This window comes from Homo sapiens, chromosome 9 (assembly GCF_000001405.40).
Source record: "Homo sapiens chromosome 9, GRCh38.p14 Primary Assembly".
NCBI lineage: Eukaryota > Metazoa > Chordata > Mammalia > Primates > Hominidae > Homo > Homo sapiens.
Genome location: NC_000009.12, coordinates 125792006 through 125817136, shown reverse-complemented (window position 1 = coordinate 125817136; position 25131 = coordinate 125792006). Strand labels below are relative to the sequence as shown.

The window sequence follows — 25131 nt, the reverse complement described above, 5'->3', positions numbered from 1 at the left end:
TTCTTTACTCTATTGAGGTTATCAACACAGAATAATTCTTCACTCTAGTTTCATGACTGATTTTGGAAAGACTAAGAAGCAAAAAATGTTGATTAAAAAAATTGTTTCACCTTTTAACAAGGTGAAGATCAGCTACGCATGCACAGATACATTAACTGCAGAAAAAAATGAAACCATATAAGAACTCTGGTGTCTCCAAAAATAGTCAAAAAGGACCAATCATCTGATAATCTAAATGATGAGACATTACAAGAAAAGAAGAGAACTGGTAAAGGATAAAAAGATTAAACTGGGATTCTATGTTAAAGAAGGTATGGCACAAAGACCATGAAACTGCCAAGCAATTTCAGTGTTGAAATGTTCTGTGTATATACACACACACAAACACACACAAAAAAGAGAGACAGACTAAAACTTGAGGACAGACACAACCCTTTCCCCAGTCAAAAGAGTATAATATAAAGAGAACTGAACCCTGAGTTGGAAGATTCGAGCACTAATCTCTATCCCAGTTCTGCAACTTACTCAGGCAAGTGACCATCCGTAAATCCCTTACTTAGCCGCTCTAATCCTCACTTTCCTAATTTGTAAAACAAGAGTAATATACATTCCACCTAAATCAAAGGTTGTTATGAAGATTAAGCAGATAAAATCACTCCGAACAATGTAAAAGCACCATAGAAATATTCAATAACAATTGAAGACAACTAAAAAGCAAGCATCGCTCTGGATCTTCTGGCTCAAGAGAGCAGACTGAGTATGTATGTTTAATTTCCATTCTTCCTTTCCAGTTTCCCTCTGATAGGACTGTAAAGGGTATACCATTGAGAAGGGGGAAGAGCCGGGTGCAGGGGCTCACACCTGTGTTCCCAGCACTCTGGGAGGCCAAGGCACACAGATCACTTGAGCTCAGGAGTTCAAGACCAGCCTGGGCAACATGGCAAAACCCAGTCTCTACAAAAAACAAAAAACAAAAACCAAAATTAGCCAGGCGTGGTGGTCCTCGCCTGAGGCTGAGGTGGGAGAATCACCTGAGCCCGGGCAGTCGGGGCTGCAGTGAGCCATGATCGCACCCCTAAACCGCAGTCTAGGTGACATAGTAAGACACGGTCTCAAAAAACAAAAAGAGAGAGAGAGAGACGGAGGGAGGCAGAGAGAAAGAGTAGGGGGTGGGGCTGAAGAAGACCAGATTTTGATAAATTTCTGTAACACAGATAACAAATGAGACACCACAATGACAAGTGCATCACAGTGAAGGAGGCCCAAATCTACAATGAGAAGGAGGTAGGAGCCGGTTTTCCCAGCAAAGACTGACAGAGGCTCCAACCTTGGACAGAGAACAGCAACAGGAAATGGGGCAGTAAATTAAAAGAAGGTCTGAGTAACACCTGAGAAATTTGGTCCCTCCTCACATTTTCCACACACACACACACACACACACACCCAGTCACTGCAAAGAACATTTGCCCAAAGGAGAAGTCAGACAACCATTCTCCAAAAATAATTAAGAGGTAATATCAAAAGTACAACAGTTAAAGAAGGGAGTACTAATTTCCTCCTGTTTCATATAAAAGTAAAGTAATACAGTCTGATATTGATGGAATCAAAGCTAGAGAACACATTGCTTATGTTATACGAGGAACCTACAGCAGAACAAAAAATAATACAACAACAAAACCAGAGAGGAAGAGAAGGAAATTATGTGGGAGATTATATAAATAAGCCAAATTCCTTACCATGGAAAAATGATATACAGTCAACAATTTCAGTTATTTAAATTTATGGTGGGTAACTAGCAAGAAAACAAAAAAGAGAAAGATGAAATGTGGTCTTCTCTGATGAGTGGGACTATAGGAAGGAGAAGAACAGCAAGAGGTTACAACATTTTTTTCAACTGTGCAAGGAGAGTACTTTTATAATTTAAAATTACCTGCTAACTAGTTGAAAAATATTCTTTTCAAAATGGATTGACCCAGAAAGTTACCCTGAAGGACAGAAAATCTGACTACTTAGTCTGATTTCTTTCAGTCTTTCAAAAAAATAGACATAATTCTTCAGGTTGTGAGGAAAAATTATCTTCCTAAGCATACAAGTAAGGAAAAAGAAATGGAACTGAGAAATAAGGAAGATTTTATCTTTCAGAATTCTGATAAAAGATGAGTTAGAAATGAGAGGCTGTAATTCCCTAATCCTTCAGGCTGAAGAATGGCAATTGGGAATAGTGTTTTCAACCTCAAATTCCTATTCTGGAAGTTGTTAATCGGCTTGAATGGTGGATGGCTTAATTATATAAGGACCACATTAATGTCTCAAAGGAGGGAGAGTGATCTGATAGGTTTTAATTTAAAACACTCTTCATAAAATTAAAAACGAATGCCAAACTGACTATAATCTGTGCCTCTGTGGAGAAGTAAAAGGCCAATACAGCTCTAAGAATACAGCATGATCAATGGTCTTTGAGGCTAAATTGATCCAGTACTGGTCAATAATCATGAATGTTATTCATTGGGCAGTCAAAAGTAGTCTCTCCATTTCTGTTCCAGATAGCAGGTCTTTTTCTAGGTTATTTTCAGATAGTTAGAATTGCATCTATCTGTTAATGGGAAACATTTTCACTATTCACATCCTCTAGAATGACTCTATAGAACTAAAAATCCTGGGATCTAAATGTATATATGTAGCTCACAGCACTTACGGCACTCATCTTAAATAGAACAGTACAGTTTGGAACAATTTGGATCCATTCTGTCTCATTCTACAGTTTTACTGGCATTGTACCATTCCAAAAAAAAAGAGATGGAACAAACAAGTTAAAATCTATACAAAGTTAGAGTTAACAAGGGTAGTAACTTTTCAAAGTATAGAAAAATATAATAACTGCGAGAACACTAGGTCAAATATGAAAGTACCCATCTTTGAAGGGAACATGCAACCTGCTAGCTTTGATCCTAGGATACTTTTTTTTTTTTTTTTTGAGATGGAGTCTCACTCTGTCGCCCAGGCTGGAGTGCAATAGCGTGATCTCTAAGCTCACTGCAACCTCCACCTCCCGAGTTTAAGTGATTCTCCTGCCTCAGCCTCCTGAAAACCTGGGACTACAGGGGCGCACCATGCCCAACTAATTTTTTATTTTTAATAGATACAGGGTTTCACCATGTTGGCCAGGCTGGTCTTGAACTCCTGACCTCAGGTTATCTGCCCATTTTGGCCTCCCAAAGTTTTGGGATTACAGGTATGAGCCACCGTGCCCGGCCGACATACGTGTTTATGTATGTATTTCTCTAGATCTTTTCATTGAGTAGATTCAGAAGCAGTGATACCTAATAGCAATGAGCATAACTTACACTCAAATCTTGTTTTCTCAATGTCATTATCCACTAAAAGGAACCAAGTATACTTAAAGAAACGGTTGATTCCAGGGCTAGGACAAGGCAAAGACAAGATAAGCTGGGAACATCTTATCATACCAGAATATAAGGAACTGCTTGAAGAATAATGGTGACATGTCAAAAAGACACAGATGACAGCCTGAAGGGCTCTCATTGGCCAGAAGGATTGCAAACACAATGGTTCCAACATTAATGAGTTACTGAATCAAATTGTAATCCTCTGGGTGTCTTGTTATATGACATAAAAGATATCTTGATGCGTTTAAATGACTACAGTTGGGGTTTGCATTTACTGTTATACACTGCATAATGATGTTTTGGTCAACCATGGACCACATATACAATGATGGTTTCATAAGATTATAAAGGAGCTAAAAAATTCCTATCACCTACTGATATTTTGATGATCATGACCCTACTTACACATTGGCCTATGCCAATGTGTGTTTGGCTTGGTTTTTAACAAAAAAAAATTAAAAAGTAAAAAAAATTAATAAAAAGGTTATAGAATACGGATATAAAAAAAAATCTGAATGCTCTGTGGTGTAAAGAAAAAATATTTCTGTAAAGCTGTACAATGTGTTTTAAGCTAAGTGTTATTACAAAAGTCAAAAAGTTAAAAATTAAAGTTTATATAGTAAAAAGGTTATAGTAAGCTAAGGGTAACTTATTGAAGAAATAAAAATATTTTTATAAATTTAGTATAGCCTAAGTGTACATCATATATAAAGTGTGCGGTAGTATGCACTAATGTCCTAGGCCTAAACATTCACTCACCACTCACTCACTGAGCAATTTTCAGTCCTACAAGCTCCATTCATGGTAAGTGCCCTATACAGCTATACCATGTTTTATCTCTTACACCATATTGTTACTCTACCTTTTCTATGTTTAGATACACAAATACCACTGTGTTAAAATTACCTATAGTATTCAGCACATAACATGCTGTATGGACTTGTAGCCTAGGAACAATAATGAGCTATCCCATATAGCCTAGGTGTACAGAAGGCTATATCATTTAAGCTTGTGTAAGAACACTGTATGATGTTCTCACAATGACAAAATTGCCTGATGATGAGTTTCTCAAAATGTAACCCTGCCATTAAGTGACACGACTGTATTCGTAACCCACGCAAAAGCGTAAAACAGGAGCAGGAAGGGGAACTGAAAACGCTCAGGTCCCTGTATTGATCAATAAAGAGATTTTGAGTCTTAGTAAAAACGCATGCTGATATCAATTAAAGTAACAGAATGTTAAACTCTTAAGTCTGTAAATGGAAAAGAAACAAAGCAAATCCAGTCAATTAAAATATCCAAATAAGCAGACTACATCCATAATATCTAACGACTGTTAAAAATCTGAAGAAAATATGGTTAAATGCATATATTTGGTAAAGCTGAGTATGAGTACATGGCTGCTGGTTTTATTATTCACTAATTGCTATGGAGGAAATATTTGTGCCCCCCAACCCATTCATATATTGAAGCACTAATTCCCAATATGATATTTAGAGGCAGGGCCTTTGGGAGGTGTCTTGGTATGTTTAGGCTGTTAAAATAAGTTAGACTGGGTAGTTTGTGGACAACGCAAATTTATCGTTCACAGTTCTGGAAGCTAGGAAGCCCAAGATCAAGGCACCTGTGGATTAAGTATCTGGTGAAAGCTCAATCTACTTCATAAATGGTGCCTTCTTGCTGCGTGTTCACAAGGCAGAAAGGACAAATAAGTTCCCTTGGGCCTATTTTACAAGGGTATTAATATAATTCATGAGGGTGAAGCCCTCATAACCTAATCACCACCCAAAGATCCCACCCCTTAATACTACCACAATGGTGACGAGGTTTCAACATATGAATTTGCAGGGGACACAAACATTCAGACCACAGCAGGAGATAAATAGGTCATGAGGACAGAGCCCCCATGATGAAATTCATCTAAATGTCTAAAAAAAGAGACATGAGAAAGATTATCTCTCTCTCCACCATGTAAGGATACAGCAGGAAGGTAGACATCTGCAAATGAGAAAATGAACACTCACCATACACTAAATCTGTAGGCAGCCTGTATTAGTCCATTCTCATGCTGCTATGAAGAAATACCCGAGACTGGGTAATTTATAAAGAAAAGAGGTTTAATTGACTCACAGTTCCACATGGCTGGGGAGGCCTCAGGAGACTTACAATTATGGCAGAAGGAACCTCTTCACAGGGAAGCAAGACAGAGAATGACAGCCAAGCAAAGGGGGAAACTCCTTATAAAACCATCGGATCTCATGAGAACCCATTCACTATCATGAGAACAGGATGGGGGAACCACCCCCATGATTCAATTATCTCCACCTGGTCCTGCCCTTGACACATGGAGATTATTACAATTCAAGGTGAGATTTGGGTAGGGACACAGAGCCAAACCATATCACAGCCTGATCCTGCACTTCCCTGCCTTCAGAACTATGAGAAACAAACGTTTATTATTTAAGCCACCCAGTCTATGGTATATTGTTACAGCTGCCCAAGCTACGACACTGATTTTCCATATGCTAACAATAATTCATAAAACATACATATTTTACAGGCTAACGGAGAAGCTATTGGACAGGCCTTCCTTCATCAGCCAACTGAGATTTGTATCTCATGTTTGCCTTCTAAATATGGATTTAAAGAAAGAGGCTAAGGAACCATGAAGAGATGGGAGCTATGCTAGCTACTTTTAGCAGAAGAGAAGTTTATAAAAGATATTAGGGAGCTTACAGGATCCCCAGGAGTGCCTGAGGTCTATGTAACCTGGAATAATAACCAAATCCTCATGGAAGACTACCACTGGGCACAGATACCACACCTCGCATCTTGGGAGCAGAGAATGCTATAGTTAAGATTTCTACCATTTGCCACCCCCAAAAGCCTATCTCTCTGCCAGTTCTTCCACCTTCATCAGGACAGATTCCACACAGCACCACCTTCTTCACACTTCTTTCTTCCAAACTCAGGTGACTGCATCTGATTGGCTGGCTCTGTGTCATATGCCTGAGCTCTGGCTGCAAAGAATACAAAGAAATTGTCTTCTAGCAAGGGATATAGAATCAATGGTAAGATTTTCCTCAATATAGGACAAATAATCAAAAGATGCTGGGTAACTACCCAGATAAAAATGTCCACAAGTCCACTAGACTCTGAAATCACTGAAAACTGGCCAAAAAGTTCCACTCAACACAAGAAGACATTTAGAAGTGGAAATCATGGAGAGTCAGAATGAAATTCTGTAAAAAGACAGACCTTATAGGGAACAGAAGCTTACATGTATGGTTTTCTAGGTACAATAAAAAGCTTCTCACCCATTGCTCCACCATACACACACACACACACACACACACACACACACTCATTCCTGCTCCAGAAGGTTAATATTACAACATAAAATACATTCTTTTGAAGAAAATTATCTTTAAATTGTAAGCCCCTTGAGAATTATAAAATATTAACCTAACATGAGTCATAATAAGTTAGAACAGAGTGCTTGCTTTGAGAAACAAACACTGAGAAAACAGAAATTTTTATAAAAGAGTAGGGAGGGGTGACTTAGTAGAACATTATCAACTACTTCAGGTAGCTAATAGATGTTTGAGATGTGTGCACTTTGTATATTCCTATGTGGCTCAGTTCAGCCAAGTGCAGTTTTCTGCATTCATCTAGTGTTTCTTAAGGACAAAATCACATGAAATTCACATTGTGCCCAAACTATTCCCTAATATACCAATCATGTTGGAACAATCCTCACATTTTCAAAACAAGCATTACAACAGAACTTACTGTATTATTTAGACTTCATGTTTGGTAAAATAACCATTCAATTTTCTTTTCTTTCCCATTCAAGTTTTTTGTTCATTTTTCTACCAGGTTGCCTTTTTCATAATAATTTATAGGAATTCTTTAAACATCCTGACCAGTGATCTATATTGCAGTGTCTTCTTCCAGTCATGGCTTGTACTTTCATTTCTTCCTTATGGTTTACATTGATGATCAGAAATTCTTAATTTTAATATAGCTGAATATTTCCTTTATGATTGTGATTTTTATATTGTTTAAGAAATCTTTCGCCCACCCTGAGGTCACAGATATTCCATTTTGCCTTCTAAGTTTTACAGTTTATTTGCTTTCTTCCGTGTTTTCTGTTTAATTGAGATGGTAATTGTCTTTACACTTTTAAAGAACTTAGACTATCCTCAGAAGTACAACTGCATTTGAGTTATAAAAATAACCAAATGATTACAAAGGTAATACCTGGAGCCTTAGGATTATTTGGCAAAAAAAAAAAAAAATCAGCATTGAGATGGAAAATAATGTTACAATAACTAATCAAATGTTCATCTTATCACATCTCCCCAAAAAAGAAAAAAGATTTTTTCCCAAGAATAAAATAAAGTCACTCTATATTTACAAATTTGCCTACTCACTAAAATTTATTTGTAACCCCAAAATCAACCCTCAGGGCACTTTTGCAGTCATCTGCAGTCACGCATATGCAAGGAACAGTGAAAAATTTGATTTGCCCAACACCCACATTCCCAGCTGAAGTTGAACAAAATGACGCTCAGCTTTCTTGTTTCAGCTCTTATATGGTTAACAGGTATCCTTCTTGCAGTCTATTTAGTACCAGGTTTTTTGTAATTTTGTGCTTTTTGTTGGTGATTTCCCTGTTTAAAATGGCACTCAAGAACAGCGGTAAGTGCTGTCTGGTGTCCCTGTTTAAAATGGCACTCAAGAACAGCGGTAAGTGCTGTCTGGTGTTCCTAAGGACAAGAAGGCTGTGATGTGCCACAAAGAAAATATGTGTTAGATAAACTTCGTTAAGACATGAGTTACAGTGCTGTTGGCTGAGAGTTCAATGTTAATGAATCAACAATATATATTAAATAAGATGTGTTTAAACAGAAACACACAAAACAAGGTCATGTATGATTGGTTGACAAAAATTGTGACCAGAGACTCACAGGAACCTAACCCTGTATTTCTTCTAGAAACAATACCCCATTGTAAACACTGAATTAGTGTTTACAGTGACTGTATTTTTTATTTTATTTTGAGATTGGGTCTCACTCTATAGCTCAGGCTGGAGTGCAGTAGCATGATCATAACTCACTGAAGCCCTGACCTCCCAGGCTCAAGTGATTCTCCCATCTCAGCCTATTGCCTCGCTAAGACCACCAACGCATGCCACCACACCTGGCTAATTTTTTAAATTTTTTGTAGAGACAGAGTCCCCAGGGTGGTCTCAAATTCCTGGGCTCAAGTGATCCTCACACCTCAGCCTTCCAACGTGTTGGGATTACAGGGGTGGGCCACTGCACTCAGCCTTACAGAGACTTTATGAAACATAATTGCTATAAATAATGAGAATCAACTCTAACTTTAAAGTACCGGAAAGAAAAATAAGGGTATCAGTTTGGATTCTGTCAAGTAATAATTTTTTAGATGCTGTCAGTCCCACATTTTTCACACTATACGTCCTATTTTATACTAGAAAAATGATATAATCATAAACCAACAAAAAAATTGTTTCCCCACATAGACCACTCCTTAGGAAAACTTTTTAATTTTTAACAATTGTATGTATGTAGTGATTTTTACCACCATCCAGAATCTCCTAGTTTGTCTTGAAGGTCTAGAAAGTAGACTTTATCCCTATCTGGACTTTATCTATCTATCAATCTAGATAATCCAATCTATCTGTTTATCTATCTATCTACATGAAAAGTGGACTTAATTCATTCACCCAGAGATTAGCAAAATTTCACAGACTTAATAACTCAATTAATTAAAAACTGATGTATACACTAGAGTTAAAATGTATTGATTTATAAAGAGATGTCTCTTTTTGATAACATAAACACTGATATATCCTGCCCAGGAAACTTTATTCCTTTCCTGGTGTCAAGGTGCATGGGAAACCAAAGTAATAAAAACTAGACTGGCAAGTACAGCACTGGTCTTGAAGGATATTTAATAAGAGAAGTTTGATGAACTATCATGTACCTACAATAAAAAAAAAACATGTTTCTAACAATAATAATCTAGAGTATCTATTAAGGGCTAACCAGGTACTGATACATAAATTTACTCAACAGCCCTATGAGGTAGGTTACATACTAGCCTTTTAGATTAGAAATGTGAATTTAGACAAGTTAGAGGGGTTAGGAATCTTACGCAGGTTATGCCACTTGTAAGTATTAAGGGTTGAGAATCAAATCACAATCTGAATTCAGAGCCCTTACCAAGTGTCCCAACCTCTACCAGAGTGCTCATGCTCAACACTTGCTTCCTCCCTGTTAGGAAAGCTAACTACATCAGTTTCTATAGCCGCCTATTCTACGTTGTACCACTCCTTCTGTTAATATTTTCTTTTTTTTTTTCTTTTTTGAGTCAGAGTTTTACTGTCACCCAGGGTGGAATGCAGTGGTGCAATCTCAGCTCACTTAGCTCACTGCAACCTCTGCCTCCCAGGTTCAAGTGATTCTCCTGCCTCAGCCTTTCAAGTAGCTAGGACTACAGGCACATGCCACCACACCCAACTAATTTATGTACTTTTTACTAGAGATGGGGTTGTGCCATGTTGGCCAGGCTGGTCTCAAACTCCTGGCCTCAAGTGATCTCATCGCCTCAGCCTCCCAAAGTACTGGGATTACAGGCATGGGCCACTGTGCCCAGCTAATATTTCTTTCTTAAAATGTGTTTACCCCACTGATTAAACTAGCAATCCATTTCTAATAACTTAAAGGTTTATGGTGTCCCCTAGGAGTCTGTCTTATATCTTCTCCTCTCAAATTATTCAAAACTTTCTGTGAGTGATCTCATCCATGTCCATGGGTGGTCTTAGATTTGGGAATTATTTCCTGCACAGCAATCTCTTCTGCACTCCAAATCTCTGTGTCCAACTATCAACCTGACATCTTTACTTCAATGCTACATGAATGCTCATCTCATTCTAAATAAAAGTCAAACTGCTCACAATAACTTATGAGACACTGAGCTTAATATGATCTGCAATTTCCCCCCATATGACTGCCATGATTTGAACACATGTGCCCTCTCCAGAATTCATACTGAAACCTAATCCACAAAGCAACAGTATTAACAGGCTTTGGAAGGTGATGAGGCCACACAGGCTCTGCCATCACAAATGGTTGAGTGCTCTTATAAGAGGCCTGCAGAAAGCAAGCTAGGCCCCCTTTTTGCCCTTCCACCATGTGAACAGACAGCATGCAAGGTGCCATCCTGGAAGCAGAAGCCTGGCCCTGACCAGACACCGAACCTGGCAGCATCTTGATCGTGAACCTCCCATCCTCCAGAACTGTGAAAAAGAAATTTACTCTTTATAAATTACCCGGTCTCAGATATTTTTTTACAGTAGCACAAACAGACTAAGACAATACCCATTTCCTCCTACTCTCCCTCCCTCCCTCTGCTCCAGCCACCTAGTCTCTTCACTGTTCCTCTAACTTCACAAGCATGCTCCTACCACAGAACCTTTACATTTGCTCTTCCTTCTGCCTGAAGTGCCCTTTCCCTGGATATATGCATGCCTATTTCACTTTCTTCAGATATGAGATCAAAAGTCATCTTCTCAAGTAAGGCTGGTCTCTAGTCACCTATTAAACATTTTAAAATTTCAACACCACCTCTCTGACACTTCCTTGTTTTTCTCCAAGCAGTTATCATACATTTACACAGATATAGAGATGGATACATAGATACATAGATATATAGAAATAAAAACTTATTTGGCTTATTACATTTCTCCCATTGCAAGCTAAGCTCTATTAGGATAAGAAATTTTATCTGTTTCCTTCATTCCTATGGGTATAGAATAGTGCCTGGCATACCACAGAACCTTAATAAATATTTCTTGAATAAACTAATGAACCACAGGCAATCCAAACTTAACATGCTCAAAATGGAATTCATCATTTCTCCCTCTCCCACCCCAAAACCTATTATTCCCACTGTACTTTCTATTTTAGGGAAAGGCACCATCATTTAACCAAGTGTTCATGCCAGAATTCTCCAAGATTCATTCTTGACTCCTTCCTTCCAAGCAACCATATTTCCAAGTTCCATCTCCAAGTTCTATTACTAAACATCTCATTAATCCATCCATTTATCTCCGTCTTTACTGCTATCAGTCTAGTCTAGGCCACCATCATCTCTCACTGGGACTACCATAGCCTCCAAGTGGCACATTGTTTTCATTTTTTGGCCTCCTAAAATCCATTCATTCAAAAGTCAAAATCATCTTTTTAAAAAATGAGCCTATGTGCCTCCCCTGTTAAAAACCCTTCACACGCTTCCCACTGCATGGAACAAAATCCAAATTCCTCACTCTGCCCAGAACCCCCTGCATCACATGGCTCCTATTCATCTGCCCAACCTCATCTCATACTATTCTTCCCCTCACACACTACACTCTAATCCCAAAGGCATCCACTCTGTTCCTCAAGTCCAACAAATCCTTACCACAGCCAGGCCTGTGCACTTGGCAGTCCCTCTTCCTGGAATGCTCTTCTCCCAGTTTTTTTTTTTAAGCCTGCTCCTTCTCATCCACCAGTCTCAGTGAAATGATACCGCCTCAAAAAAATATTTTCTTTTAACAACCTATCTAAAGTGGCCTCACTTAGTATCTCTTTCATCAGTCTGTTGATATACTTGGATTTTGTCTATGTTCCCCCAACAAAATATAAAAGCTCAATGAGAAGCTTATCTGTCTTCTTCCTCTTCTTCTTCTTCTTTTTTTTTTTTTTTTTTTAAGACAGAGCCTTGCTCTTGTCACCCAGGCTGGAGTGCAGTGGCATGATCTCAGCTCACAGCAACCTCCGTCTCCCAGGTTCAAGCAATTCTCCTGCCTCAGCCGCCCGAGTAGCTGGGATTACAGGTACCCGCCACCCCGCCCAGCTAATTTTTTGCATTTTTAGTAAAGATGGGGTTTCACCATGTTGGCTAGGCTCCAGGCTGGTCTTGAACTCCTGATCTCAGGTGATCCACCTGCCTCGGCCTCTCAAAGTGCTGGTATTACAGGCATGAGCCACCACGCCCACCTGTCTTCTTTATTGCGCTTTTCCTTAAGTCTAGCACAGTGCCTGGCACATAATTTGTATCAAATATTTGTTGAATAAATGGCTACACTAAATCATCATTTAGCAGAGATGGGACAGAAGGAGATTTTAACATGAAATGGGTTGCTGGACAAAGACAGTCTCCTTATAATCCCTTCATGTCACGGTGTCCCTAGAAAATGGTTTTGTACAGCACACTACGATAAACAGACAAGAATGCTTGCAGCCACAGGTGACCAGCACAAGGGCTTAGCCATCCCAGGATGAGCCCAGCCGCCCAGAGAGCTAAGAGGCTCAATAGCTCATATACCTTGAAAAGCTCTGGATTGTGACACTTAAGATTTCTTCCAACTTTGAAATTCCTTTATGAATTTTCCCAAGAAATGCATAGACCTAAGAATCTTTATAACTCTTAGCTATCTAACACTGAATAAACTCTATATTTATAAACCCTACCACTGATTACCTACATATAGTCTATAACCTATTTAGTCTTCACCATTTCTAGTAACTTTTGTTATCCCCAAGACTGATCTGAGAGTAGGCTACTGACATGAAAACTCATGACAGCAAATGTAGCAAGAGATGAAGAAGCTATAAAATCACAACAAAGATGCTCAACACTCAGACTAGATAAAGACCCCAAAGTCAGAAAGCCTGCTCTTCTTTTACACCAGTTATTCACCTTTTACGACATGTAGAGTCTACACTGACTTTGCTAGCAAACCAGGCTAGCACATGGCCCTGACATTTCATAAGGTTCTGGTAATTCAAACAGAGAGTTCATAAGACTACACTCTAAGGTCATTAACTTTACTCATCAGTTATATTAAAAATTAGAGGTAGATGAGTACAGTTTATTGTATGTCTATTACACTTCAATAAACGTGTAAAAAATAAACGAGAGTAGTCATCAAAGTTAGTATGACTAGTAATATGACAAAGTGACATCATATGCCTCTTGATCTAATGACTGAGGACAAAGCATCATTCTTGTGATATTCCTGCCAAAACAGTATAACTTCAATTTAATTATAAGAAAACATCAGAAAATCCTGGATTGAAAGCATATTCTAAAAAATAAATGGCCCATTTTTTTATGCCAAGGTCATGACAAAGAGGTTAAGGAATTGTTCCAAGTTAAAGGAGACAAAAGTGGCATAAAAACTAAATGTAGTTCATGTTCATACTTTGAATCCTGGAAAATAATTTTTTTTTTTACTTTTACTTTTCTTATAAAAGACATCAGTGGGGGCCGGGCACAGTGGCTCATGCCTGTAATCCCAGCACTTTGGGAGGCTGAGGCGGGTGGATCACTTGAGGTCAGGAGTTCAAGACCAGCCTGGCCAACATGATGAAACCCCGTCTCTACTAAAAATACAAAAATTAGCCAGGCATGGTGGCCCGTGCCTATAATCCTAACTACTCAGGAAGCTGAGGTGGGAGGGAGGATCACCTGAGGCAGTTTGCAGTGAGGGGAGATCGCACCACTGCACTCCAGCCTGGGCGACACAGCGAGACTCTGACTCAAAAAAAAAAAAAAAAAAAAGACATTAGTGGGAAAAATCACTGAAATAAGGTCTATAGATAATAAATTCCTGATTTTAATAATTGTGTTATGGTTATAAAACAGAGTATCATTGTATCTTCTAAAAAATATGCAGCCAGGCACGGTGGCTCACGCCTGTAATCCCAGCACTTTGGGAGGCCGAGGCGGGCAGATCACCTGAGGTCAGGAGTTCGAGACCAGTTTGACCGATATGGGGAAACCTTGTCTCTACTAAAAGTACAAAAATTACCCGGGTGTGGTGGCATGCACCTGTAATCCCAGCTACTCGGGAGGCTGAAGCAGGAGAATTGCTTGAACCCGGGAGGCGGAGGTTGCACTGAGCCGAGATCGCACCACTGCACCCCAGCCTGGGCAACGGAGAGAGACTCTGTCTCAAAAAAACAAACAAAAAAAAAATGTATTGGCCAGGCACAATTGCTAATGCCTATAATCCCAACACTTTGGGAGGCCTGAGCAGGCGGATGGCTTGAACCCAGGAGTTTGAGACCAGCCTGGACAACATAGTGAAACCCTGTCTCTACAAAAAATACGAAAATTAGCTAGGCCTGGTGGTGTGTGCTTGTAGTCTCAGCTACTTGGGAGGCTGAGGTGGGAGAATTACCTGAGCCTGGGGAGGTGGAGGCTGCAGTGAGCCATGACCATGCTACTGAACTCCACACTGGGCAACGGAATGAGACCCTGTCTTTAAAAAAAAAAAAAAAAAAAAAAAAATGCACTAATGTTCTCACAAGTAGAAGCTAAACATTATATACACATGAACATAAAGATGGGAACAACAGACACTAGGGACTACTAGAGAGGGGTGGGTGGGGACAGGGGCTGAAAAACTACCTAGTGGGTACTGTGTTCACTACCTGGGTGACAAGATCAACCCCAAACCTCAGCATCACGCAATATACCTGTGTCACAAACCTGCACGTGTACCCTCTGAATCTAAAATAAAAGTTGAAATGCAAAATTATTATAAAATTAGGAATAAAAATAAGTTTTGCTGTTATTGTTGTTGTTGAGATAGGATTTCATTTTTGTTACCTAGGCTGGGTGCAGTGGCACAATCAGGACTCACCCAGGCTCAAGTGATCCTCCTGCCTCAGCCTCCCAAAGTGCTGGGATTACAAGCATGAGCCACCACACCTAGCCGAAAATAAATTTTCTTAACCTCAAAAAAATGAAATATACACTGGAGTTTTTAGTTTTAACCATACCAAGTCTGCAACTTATAAATGATTCAGAAAGTTAAGAATATGTGTGTGTGTGTGTGTGTGTGTGTGTGTGTGTGTATGTGTATACATGTTCATATAAACATTTAAGAGGAAAAAACCTTTTTACAAAACTAGGTGAAGAACACATGCAAGCTATGACGGGAAATGCTGGAGAATTTACCAGTTTCAAATACAAAAAGATGGAATGTGAAAAAACATATCACACGATAACATACATCACTAATTTTATTATGAGAGAAGGGAGAGAAATTTCTGCAAAAAATCTTTATCAGGAACAGCATTTTCTTATGTGAAAAGGTGTTTGTAATTTTATGGTCTTTGGTTAATAATGGAAAAATTTATGGTAACAAATATATCAAAATACTTGGAAATCATATGCTAATTTTTGAAGGAAATAATTTTACTCAGTCATTCCCAAAGCTCCATAAAATAAAAGGAGCCAGAGTTGTAGGCAAGAAAAATATAAGAATGACACGTTTATCTGCCAGAATAAACAGTGCTGTGTCTTATATAGACAGATACACCAATGGAATTTTGCTGAAGACAAGGCAGCCTAATTCGGCAGCCTGAAGCCCGGCAGAAAATTTGGCAGGATGAAAACAGAGAAGTACTTCAAAATCAAAAGGATATGCAAGGTATTTCATTGTTCATATTAATCTAATGTTAATATATACAAATGCATCTTATTTAGTTCATAATAGAAGGAGCTACAGAGTTAAATCAACAAATATTCATTGAATGTCTAGCATATGCCAACACTGGAGATACAGAATAACTTCAAATAAAAATTAATTCCAGGCCAAGCACGGTGGCTCATGCCTGTAATCCCAACACTGGGGGGCCAAGGAGGGAGGATCACCTGACGTCAGGAGTTCGAGATCAGCCTGGCCAACATGGTGAAATCCCGTCTCTACTAAAAATACAAAAATTAGCCAGGCATGGTGGCAGGCGCCTGTAATCCCAGTTACTGGAGACACTGAGGTAGGAGAATCGCTTGAACCTGGAGGTAGAGGTTTCAGTGAGCCGAGGTCATGCCATTGCACTCCAGCTCGGGCCACAAGAAGGAAACTCTGTCTCAAAAAAAAAAAAAAAAAAAATTAATTCCAAGCGCTCAGATTAGTGTTCCTCCTAAAACCTTTAAGTAAAAGAAAGAATACAACTTATACATTAAAATGTTTAGTTAGTAAATATCCCATGAAGCTATAAAAAAAAAACTTCTCCTGGATAGAGAAATTCTCTCCACTAGCAGCAGCCATTCCAACCAGTTTGTTTCACTGAGGTGTTGGGATAATGCTCGTTTATGTTGAGGAATAGCAGAGTTTTCCATGTAGTAAGGTACTAAATAGGTATAATAATAGAAAAACTCTTTATTGGCACAATAATTTACTGCTAAGCATAGAATTTAGGGTTATAAGATTAATAAAGTACTGTTTTCTGAACCAACATTACAGTGTAAGAACTCCCAAGAGTTTCTTAGTAGAATATATACCACTGAGGTACTCTAAATAATTATTTATACCCTATTTCATTCCATGAGCAATTTGAGACAGGAATCTGTGACTGGCTTAATTTGGCTTTTGCTCATTATTGATATATACAACCTCTTTTGTTGACATCACACCCTTACTTATCTTTTCAGTAGACATCTGTGATGTTTCTTTGAAGTGGAACATCTCTCTATCAGATCAGTAAGCACCACTGAGTCCATAGTTGAAGCAAAAACCAAACATCAAATTGTTAAGATCTGATGGTCTATTTATTATAACTGCTTTAACATCAAATATCTTGTAGCATTTATTACTACAATTATTATTACTGTCATAAAAATAATTGAATTAATAATTACAATAATAAGCATTGCTGAAACAATGCAGTCCCTTGATTTGTGAGGCTTCACCTCCCAAGAGGAAATCAAGAAAAATACACTGAATATATATATATCCTGGAAAATAAAGTGCCAAAAATTAGACAGAATTGAATTTAAAGAGTACAGTTTCCCTGATTTAGAAGGATGTGAAAACTCAGTTCTGTGGATCAAAGATATTATAAACACATAGAAAATTACCACTAAATTCTAGCTCATGACATTTTTATCTTATTCTTTAAACTGGATCTTATATGCCTTTCAAAATAGAGAATTATCTGCTAATGCTGAATCTGCTCTACATGTCTTCATGTAATTACATCCATGCCCAGGAAAAGAAAATGTTGTCTACACTATAATGCTTATTTTATATTTATATTGTACTATAATGCAATATTTTAGAGAAGAAAAAATGTTCACACTTAAGTAGTCAACAAACCCTTCCTAAAATAAGAGGTTTGTTTTGTCTGTTTGTTTTGAGACAGGGTCTTGCTCTGTTACCCAGGCCGGAGTGCAGTGGCACAACCATGGCTCACTACAGCCTTGACCCCCTGGGCTCAAGAAATCGTCCCACCTCAGCCTCCGGAGTAGCTGGGACTACAGCGTGCACGCCACCACACCCAGATAACATTTTGTAGAGACGGAGTTTCGCCATGTTGCCCAGGCTGGTCTCAAACTCCTAGACTCACATGATCCGCCCACCTTGGCCCCCAAAGTGCTAGGATTACAAGCCTGAACCACTGAACCGGCCTGCTTCTTTAATTATTGTTACTTCTGGTCATCTCCATACTGCATCACAACATAAAACACATTCCCTTAATGTGAAAAGAACAAAAAAATAACTGAAACATTTAACTTCAGGATGAATGGTGATTTAATATCAGAATGGAGATGTAATAAAGTTTTATGATTACTAAACAACAGACAACCCCAAAAACATCAGGAAATTTAAAAGCTAAATGTATATATACCCAATTACATATTTTTAAGAATGCAAATAAAACCTTAAGAGTAAAATTCATTCTAATAGCTATTTTTTAAAATTAATATTAAAGTCTTATATATGTATATATTATTTAACAATGTATATTAAATAATGTAGTTAAACAAACTGGGGACTGTTTTTTGTTTGTTTTGTAAGATGGCAGTTAAAAGTAATTTCATTAGAAGGGAACAAATATACATTTGCTTAGTTATATCCAAACATAACTTTTAAGAGTCCATTACCTACCACAGCTGCTATGGTAAGTTCATATATATGTGTTACCAGGAAGACATAAGGGCATGATATAATGAAACAATAATTAGAAAATTAAGAAAATACATTAAAGGTTCTATTTTTTGTAGAGTTAATTACCTCTATCACCCACTTCTTCCCTCTAGAAGTTTCCAGAACTCAAATAAATGCCTTTATTCAGTAATCATTTGTTGAAAAACAAATGTAAACAATCACCATACTATTCTAAAAATTATTTTCTTTTTTTAAGAAATGGGAGGTGGGGATAAGAGGAAGAGAAGAAAAGGATCCTTAGTAGGGGTTTAACAATCAACATCAAGGGGCTGGTGGGTGGGAGATGCAAGAAAAAGCCAGTAAAATGTATAAGTAGTAACAATTGTGGCTTAGAATATAAATTTCATTAATAATGACTGAGAACTTGTGTGTAATTATAGACAAATGTACCAACAATCTTTTGAAACTCCATGAGAGTAAAATAGCCATCAGTATATTTCATAATCCTAGATTTGAACAGCTTTTCTAACAACAAGCTGTCTGGGTAATTACTAAGCTATCTGAGAATTACTGTGAACTTTGTACCTTTTTAGCTCATTGACAGATGACTATTTGTTATTAGCTCAAGTAATAATAATGTATTAAAATACTTGCTTTATATACAGAAACGTATGTTTGCATTTAGAGTATACTGAACTTTGTTCCCCAGAAATGCATTGTAAAAAGCCACATTGAAATCTGTGAAACAGCAGCAGGACCAACAAAAATGAAACCGGTTGCTATTTCTCTCACAGTCTATGATAAATAAAAACTGCTTCATGCCTGGATGTGCATTCTCAAGGATTATTTTTGATTTCACAAACTTTCTTGCTATTGTTACTGTTAATGTTTTGCTTCTGGTCTCTTACATACTTGGAGGAGAAAGCATATTAAATTTTCCTTAAGATTTCCTGACCCCAGATATGTAGAATGAACAAGTCTAAATACCTAATGTACAATATAAGGACTATAGTTAATAATAGTGTACTGTATTCAGAATTTTTGCAAAATAAATCATTATAGCTGCTCTTGCCACAGGGGAGAAAATGGGTAACTATATGAAATGATGTACATGTTAATTTGTTTCACTACAGTAACCATTTTACTGTGTACTATATGTATCTCATAACATCACACTGTATACCTTAAACACACACAATAAAATTTATCTTATATGAAAAGAACTTCTGATCTTCACAAACATGGTTAAGTGTGTTGATTTGATTTTCTGAGAATTAAATAACTCACCTTGAGTAGAGGTAAAGTAACTCAGAGACCAAATCCATGAGTTGTTAAAAAAAAGTTTAAATGAGGACATTCTGAAAAGTAAAGTAAGTTCAATGAGTGAAAAATTGAGCCAGAATACAGTATGATTTAGAGCATGTAACTAATTCCAGCAGATAAAGGAAACTTCATTACTGATTAGTAATTTAAATTTTACTGAAAACTTCTTCCTTATTTCAAATACTTTTCATTCTAAATATGTCCTAAAAATAGAATCTAGGCTCTTTATGTTATGGATTATTTCATTTCAAAACATTTTTTAAAATATATTTCTGCTTTTGATATAACATATTAATGTCTCATAACATTCTTCTTAGTCACTATAGTATTATAATTCTGTTGATTTTTTAAAATGAATAAAAATAAGACAAATAAACGTTCATTAGCATAATGGCAACTGGGTGTTTCAACCAAGAATTATTGGGGGGTGGTTACCATACGAATTAGGTAATCTCAGGCCTTGCAAACAACAACCAACATTAACATTCTAAATCTAAATTTTTAAATATGATAAATCTAAATATAAGAGGGCATTGGTGCAAATTAGGAAATATGTGTGTGTGTGTACGTCCATAAGGACTACAGTTAATATGACACTCTCATTAACTATAGTCCTTACGGTGTATTATATATTTTTATATATTATATAAAGTGACTCTATACAACTGCTTTTAAAAAGACCTCCCACAGCATTACATACAATTAAGAAACTTGACTAATGCTTTTCAGTGATGTTTAATCAAGAAAATCTCCTTGGAGTGGATGGGCTCAACCTATGATTTAAAGAAGGAGAGGGAAATAGCAGATAGGAAGAGAATTATTCCCTATATATTAGACCTTACAGCCTCCCTACTGCAGACAATATATCTCTTTTCCTCGCCATAGGCTACCCACTCACAAGTCTTTACAACATCCATGATAGTGGTAAGGAACAATTTAATACAACAGCCCGCCCCACAGAAAATTTCCACTCAACTTTAAAGGCTTGTCATATCTGTCCCATCAATTGGTGGAGAAAATGGATTCTCAAGAGCAATAGGCTTAATGCACTACCCCTGAGGTAGTAAACCATCCCACTTAGTGTAAATAGTTTTGAAACCTGGTGATATAAGTATAAGATCCATTTCTCATCTGTAAAAGCAAAGGCTAAAGCATATTAACTGCTATGGTTTCAAATCATCAGTAAAGCTAAAACACCAGGAGAGAAAGGTGAAGATCCACTTTCTGTGGCGCTGGACTTTAACCCTGGGCAGTGAACTGAATACATGCCAAGTCCAGTTTCTAATTTTAATCTGAGCTATTCCCACACTAACCATATTTTCACTGCACATTACTAATTGTATAACCGCAAATAAAGAAAATAGACATGCAGAATACTGCAAAAGGATAAGCTAGACTTTACACCTAAGAGTCAAGACTCAAATGAACTAAATACACTCCAAAATATGCAAGAGGACTCTTAGTCTCTTACACCAAAAATGGCTCAAAATAGTGACAATATAAATTTTGAGCAACTTCTCAATATATGTACAACTACCATGTTTTTATATCTTTCATATCATAAGTTCCAATGCAACTCTTAAAAAGGACACCACTTAAAGAAATCATTTTCTAATTGCTGTGGGACCTCGTGTATTAAAGGTTTATTTTAAATTTTTAAAATTTTATTTTTAAATCTTCCATTTCCATTAGCATTAAAATAGAAATTGTATTGGTGTTAATGGCCCATGGTCTTACAGTGTCAATACCAAGGAAACAAAACAGTGCCTCTGGGTAAAGCCCTCTGCTAATATATATTAATAGTGGAATCTGATTTATGGGTTTCTTTAGATGCAATAAGGCATCATTGGAATCATTACAGTTTACATGTTGTATATGATTGTTGAACTGAGTACATACCAGACCCTGAGAACCCAAAGACTTAGTAAAACTGGAACCATTAAAGTTATTTAATGGTTAACTCTAGAGCATATGCTTTCATCACAAAGAATATAATATCAGTAAAAAGAATTGGTAGAACCTCTTTTCCTAAATTCTGAATCAAATGTTTTCTCAGCCACCAAATAATTTCCCTGGAAAGGTAAAAAGATATACCAGCTAGGTGCTATATGTGAAAACATTACAAATCAGAAGAACAGCACGGATACTTCCTCTTTGTTAAGATGCTAATATCTTACTATAAGACAATGCACCTCAGAATACACTTCAATCCTGCACAGGTTTTTACCTGGGACCCTACCAAAAGGGTTTCCATTAATGAATAACAATCATCTAGAAAATGCTTCTGGAGCATGGACGCAAAGAACAGAATTATAATGGAGCCTGTACATGTAAGGGATATGGCAACAGAAGTAGTATTACAAGGCTTCATTGAGAGTGAGGATGAAGCCAGTGGCTATTTGTACACCACCATTAGTAAAAGGCTGGTCTGCCGGAGGCAGAAAAGTTGGTAAGTGAATGCATCAATACTGAATTCAGTTTGAGTTGCTTTCAAAACGTAATGGCTCATTCAGTGCAAACATTAGGAACAGGCTAATGGAAGGGTTGCCTAGCCAGCTAGATTGAACACAACATGAAGTCTTCTCTTGGTGTACACACTGAACAGTGCTTAATTCTGCCTCTGGTTGCCCAACCTTGTTATCTTTGGAATTGAGGTGGGTGGGTGGGAGGAGGACTCTGAGTTTTTATTTGTTTTATTAACTTATGGGACTGTTAAAAAAAAAAAAAAACAGCCATGAGTCTCCTACTTTCCCTTCATAGACCAAACATAATCCTGACAAAAGGCATACATGAGTAATTATAATTGTTTAGGGTATTGTTTTGTTATTTTGTTCTCAGAATCTTTTTTTTTTAATAAATTGAAAATGGTGACATAGGAAAGCTAACCAATTAACTTCTCATGGTACCATATAGGGCATCATTCAATAATAGAAACTGAGCAGTAACTAAAGTCAGGTTTCCAATTTTTTTCCCATTCACCAACCTCACTTCAAGAAAGATTTTTAATTATAAAATTTCATTGTTGCCCAAAGAGGCAATTTGCCTTAACACTGAGCTTCTCAAACTGTAATGTGTATATGATTACCTGGGAATCTTGTTAAAATACAATTTCTGATTCAGTAGTTCTGAGGTGGGGTGTGAGTATCTTCAGTTTTAATAAGCTCCCAGGTGATGGCCATGCTGCCAGTCCACAGAGAACACTTTTGAGTAGCAAGGGTCCAGTAAACACAGAAGCAGAAAATATGTTTTTTCCTCCTCATCAACTCCCGCATTTCCATAACTTAAACATTTTTTCAAGCGATTCAATTTATCCACATTTTAATTTCCTCATTTGTAAAATTAAGAATTCAGTTTATCAGGCTTTTGTAAGAAAACATCATATTTGTAAGAAAACAAAAATTGTAAACATTATAAGATTAAAAATGTTATCACACAAATTTAAGTTGCGTGATTGGGTACACAGAAGTTTATAACATTACTCTCTCTGTATGTTTTTAAATCTTCATAATGGAAAGGTTTTTAAAATACAATCGCTCACTAAATTCCCTACAATAATAGCTTTATTTTATATATATTTAATATAACGTATTACATTTTTAAAATTTACCCAAAGGGTACAAAGAAACTTTAGGCCTGATGGATATGTTCATTATCCCAACTGCAATGATGGTATTTACCTATGTCAAAACTTATCAACTTTGACAGGGCACAGTGGCTCGTGCCTGTAATCCCAGCACTTTGGGAGGACGAGGCAGGCGGATTACCTGAGGTCAGGAATTCAAGACCAGTCTGGCCAAAATGGTGAAACCCCGTCTCTACTAAAAGTATGAAAATTAGCTGCGTGTGGTGGCCAGCACCTGTAATCCCAGCTACTAGGGAGGCTGATGCAGGAGAATTGCTTGAACCCAGGAGGCGAAGGATGCAGTGAGCTGAGATCGTGCCACTGCACTCCAACCTGGCAGACAGAGTCAGACTCCATGTCAACCAAAAAAAAAGGAAAAAAGCCTTTATGATGATCCACTTCCACTTAATAGTAAATATATATATATATATATATATATATTTTTTTTTTCCCCCCCAAATGGAGTCTCACTCTGTCACCCAGGCTGGAGTGCGGTGGCGCAATCTTGCCTCACTGCAAGCTCTGCCTCCCAGGTTCACGCCATTCTCCCGCCTCAGCATCCCGAGTAGCTGGGACTACAGGCGCCCACCACCACGCCTGGCTAATTTTTTGTATTTTTAGTAGAGACAGGGTTCCACCGTGTTAGCCAGGATGGTCTCGATCTCCTGACCTCATGATCCGCCCACCTCGGCCTCCCAAAGTGCTGGGATTACAGGCATGAGCCACCGTACCTGGCCAATATATTTTTTTAAAACTTATCAAATTGTACATTTTAAATAAGCACAATTTATCATAAATTAAGTATACCTCGGCCGGGCGCGGTGGCTCACGCTTATAATCCCAGCACTTTTGGAGGCCAAAGCAGGTGGATCACAAGGTCAGGAGTTCAAGACCAGCCTGTCCAATATGGTGAAACCTGGTCTCTACTAAAAAATACAAAAATTAGCCGGGCGTGGTGGCACACGCCTGTAGTCCCAGCTACTCGGGAGGCTGAGGCAGGAGAATTGCTTGAACCCAGGAGGCGGAGGTTGCAGTGAGCAGAGATTGTGCCACTGCACTCCAGCTTGGGCAACAGAGTGAGACTCCAACTCAAAAAAAAAAAAAAATTAAGTATACCTCAATAAAGCTATTTAAATAATAATAAAATTTATCCACATCCAATTTTTTGTTTATGAAAAACTAAAACAATGCCCTGAAATTCTCAATGGGAAACCACTGCTCCCTATCACTGGGAGCTATAAGCTAAGGCTGGCTCTGGAAGTCTTGACCTAAAGGATACCACTATGGGCCAAACTAGCCAGTTTCCAATCAGGGAACTAAGGGACTCCTTAGTTCTAGTGGATCATGTCAATTTCCTATTTAATTGATCTCCACTAGCTCTACAGAGCCTACCTTCTGGCTACCTCCTACATCTCCATTCTCATTTTCCTTCACCTCCCCTAATATTTCTGACACTAAGCACCTACAAAAGTTATTACCAATCTTCAAAGAGCCATACCCTGAAGGATCTGTTCCTTTGAAAATGCTGTTTCCTCTACCAAAAAGGTCTTTTTTCTGTCCTTTGTGACCCAGCTCAAAATCTACCTCCTCTGTGCAGCCTTTCCTGACTTCCTTTAGGCAGTTAGTTGCTCCCTCCTCTTTACTCCCACAGTATTCTTTTCCTACATCTAGGATTCTAGTATAAGAGTCTACAGATTTGATCATGTACTCTCCAATATTTATTTATTTATATGCGTGCGTGCGTGCGTGCGTGCGTGCGTGCGTGTGTGTGTGTAGTATTAATCCATTCTCTCACTGCTATA

General features: G+C 37.8%; 1 protein-coding gene across 11 annotated transcripts in view; it reads right to left on the bottom strand.

Moving 5' to 3' along the window:
- Positions 1-25131, bottom strand: part of PBX3 (PBX homeobox 3) — a 220005-nt gene that overhangs the window by 150241 nt on the left and 44633 nt on the right. The window contains exon 1 of one of the 11 annotated variants that reach the window (XM_047423442.1): positions 19672-19742. The exons of the other annotated variants lie outside the window; for them this stretch is intronic. Coding sequence (XP_047279398.1) covers positions 19672-19741 — 70 coding nt within the window. The 5' untranslated portion in view covers position 19742. Of the gene's footprint in view, positions 1-19671; positions 19743-25131 lie in introns of those variants that run through there. 11 annotated transcript variants of the gene reach the window in all.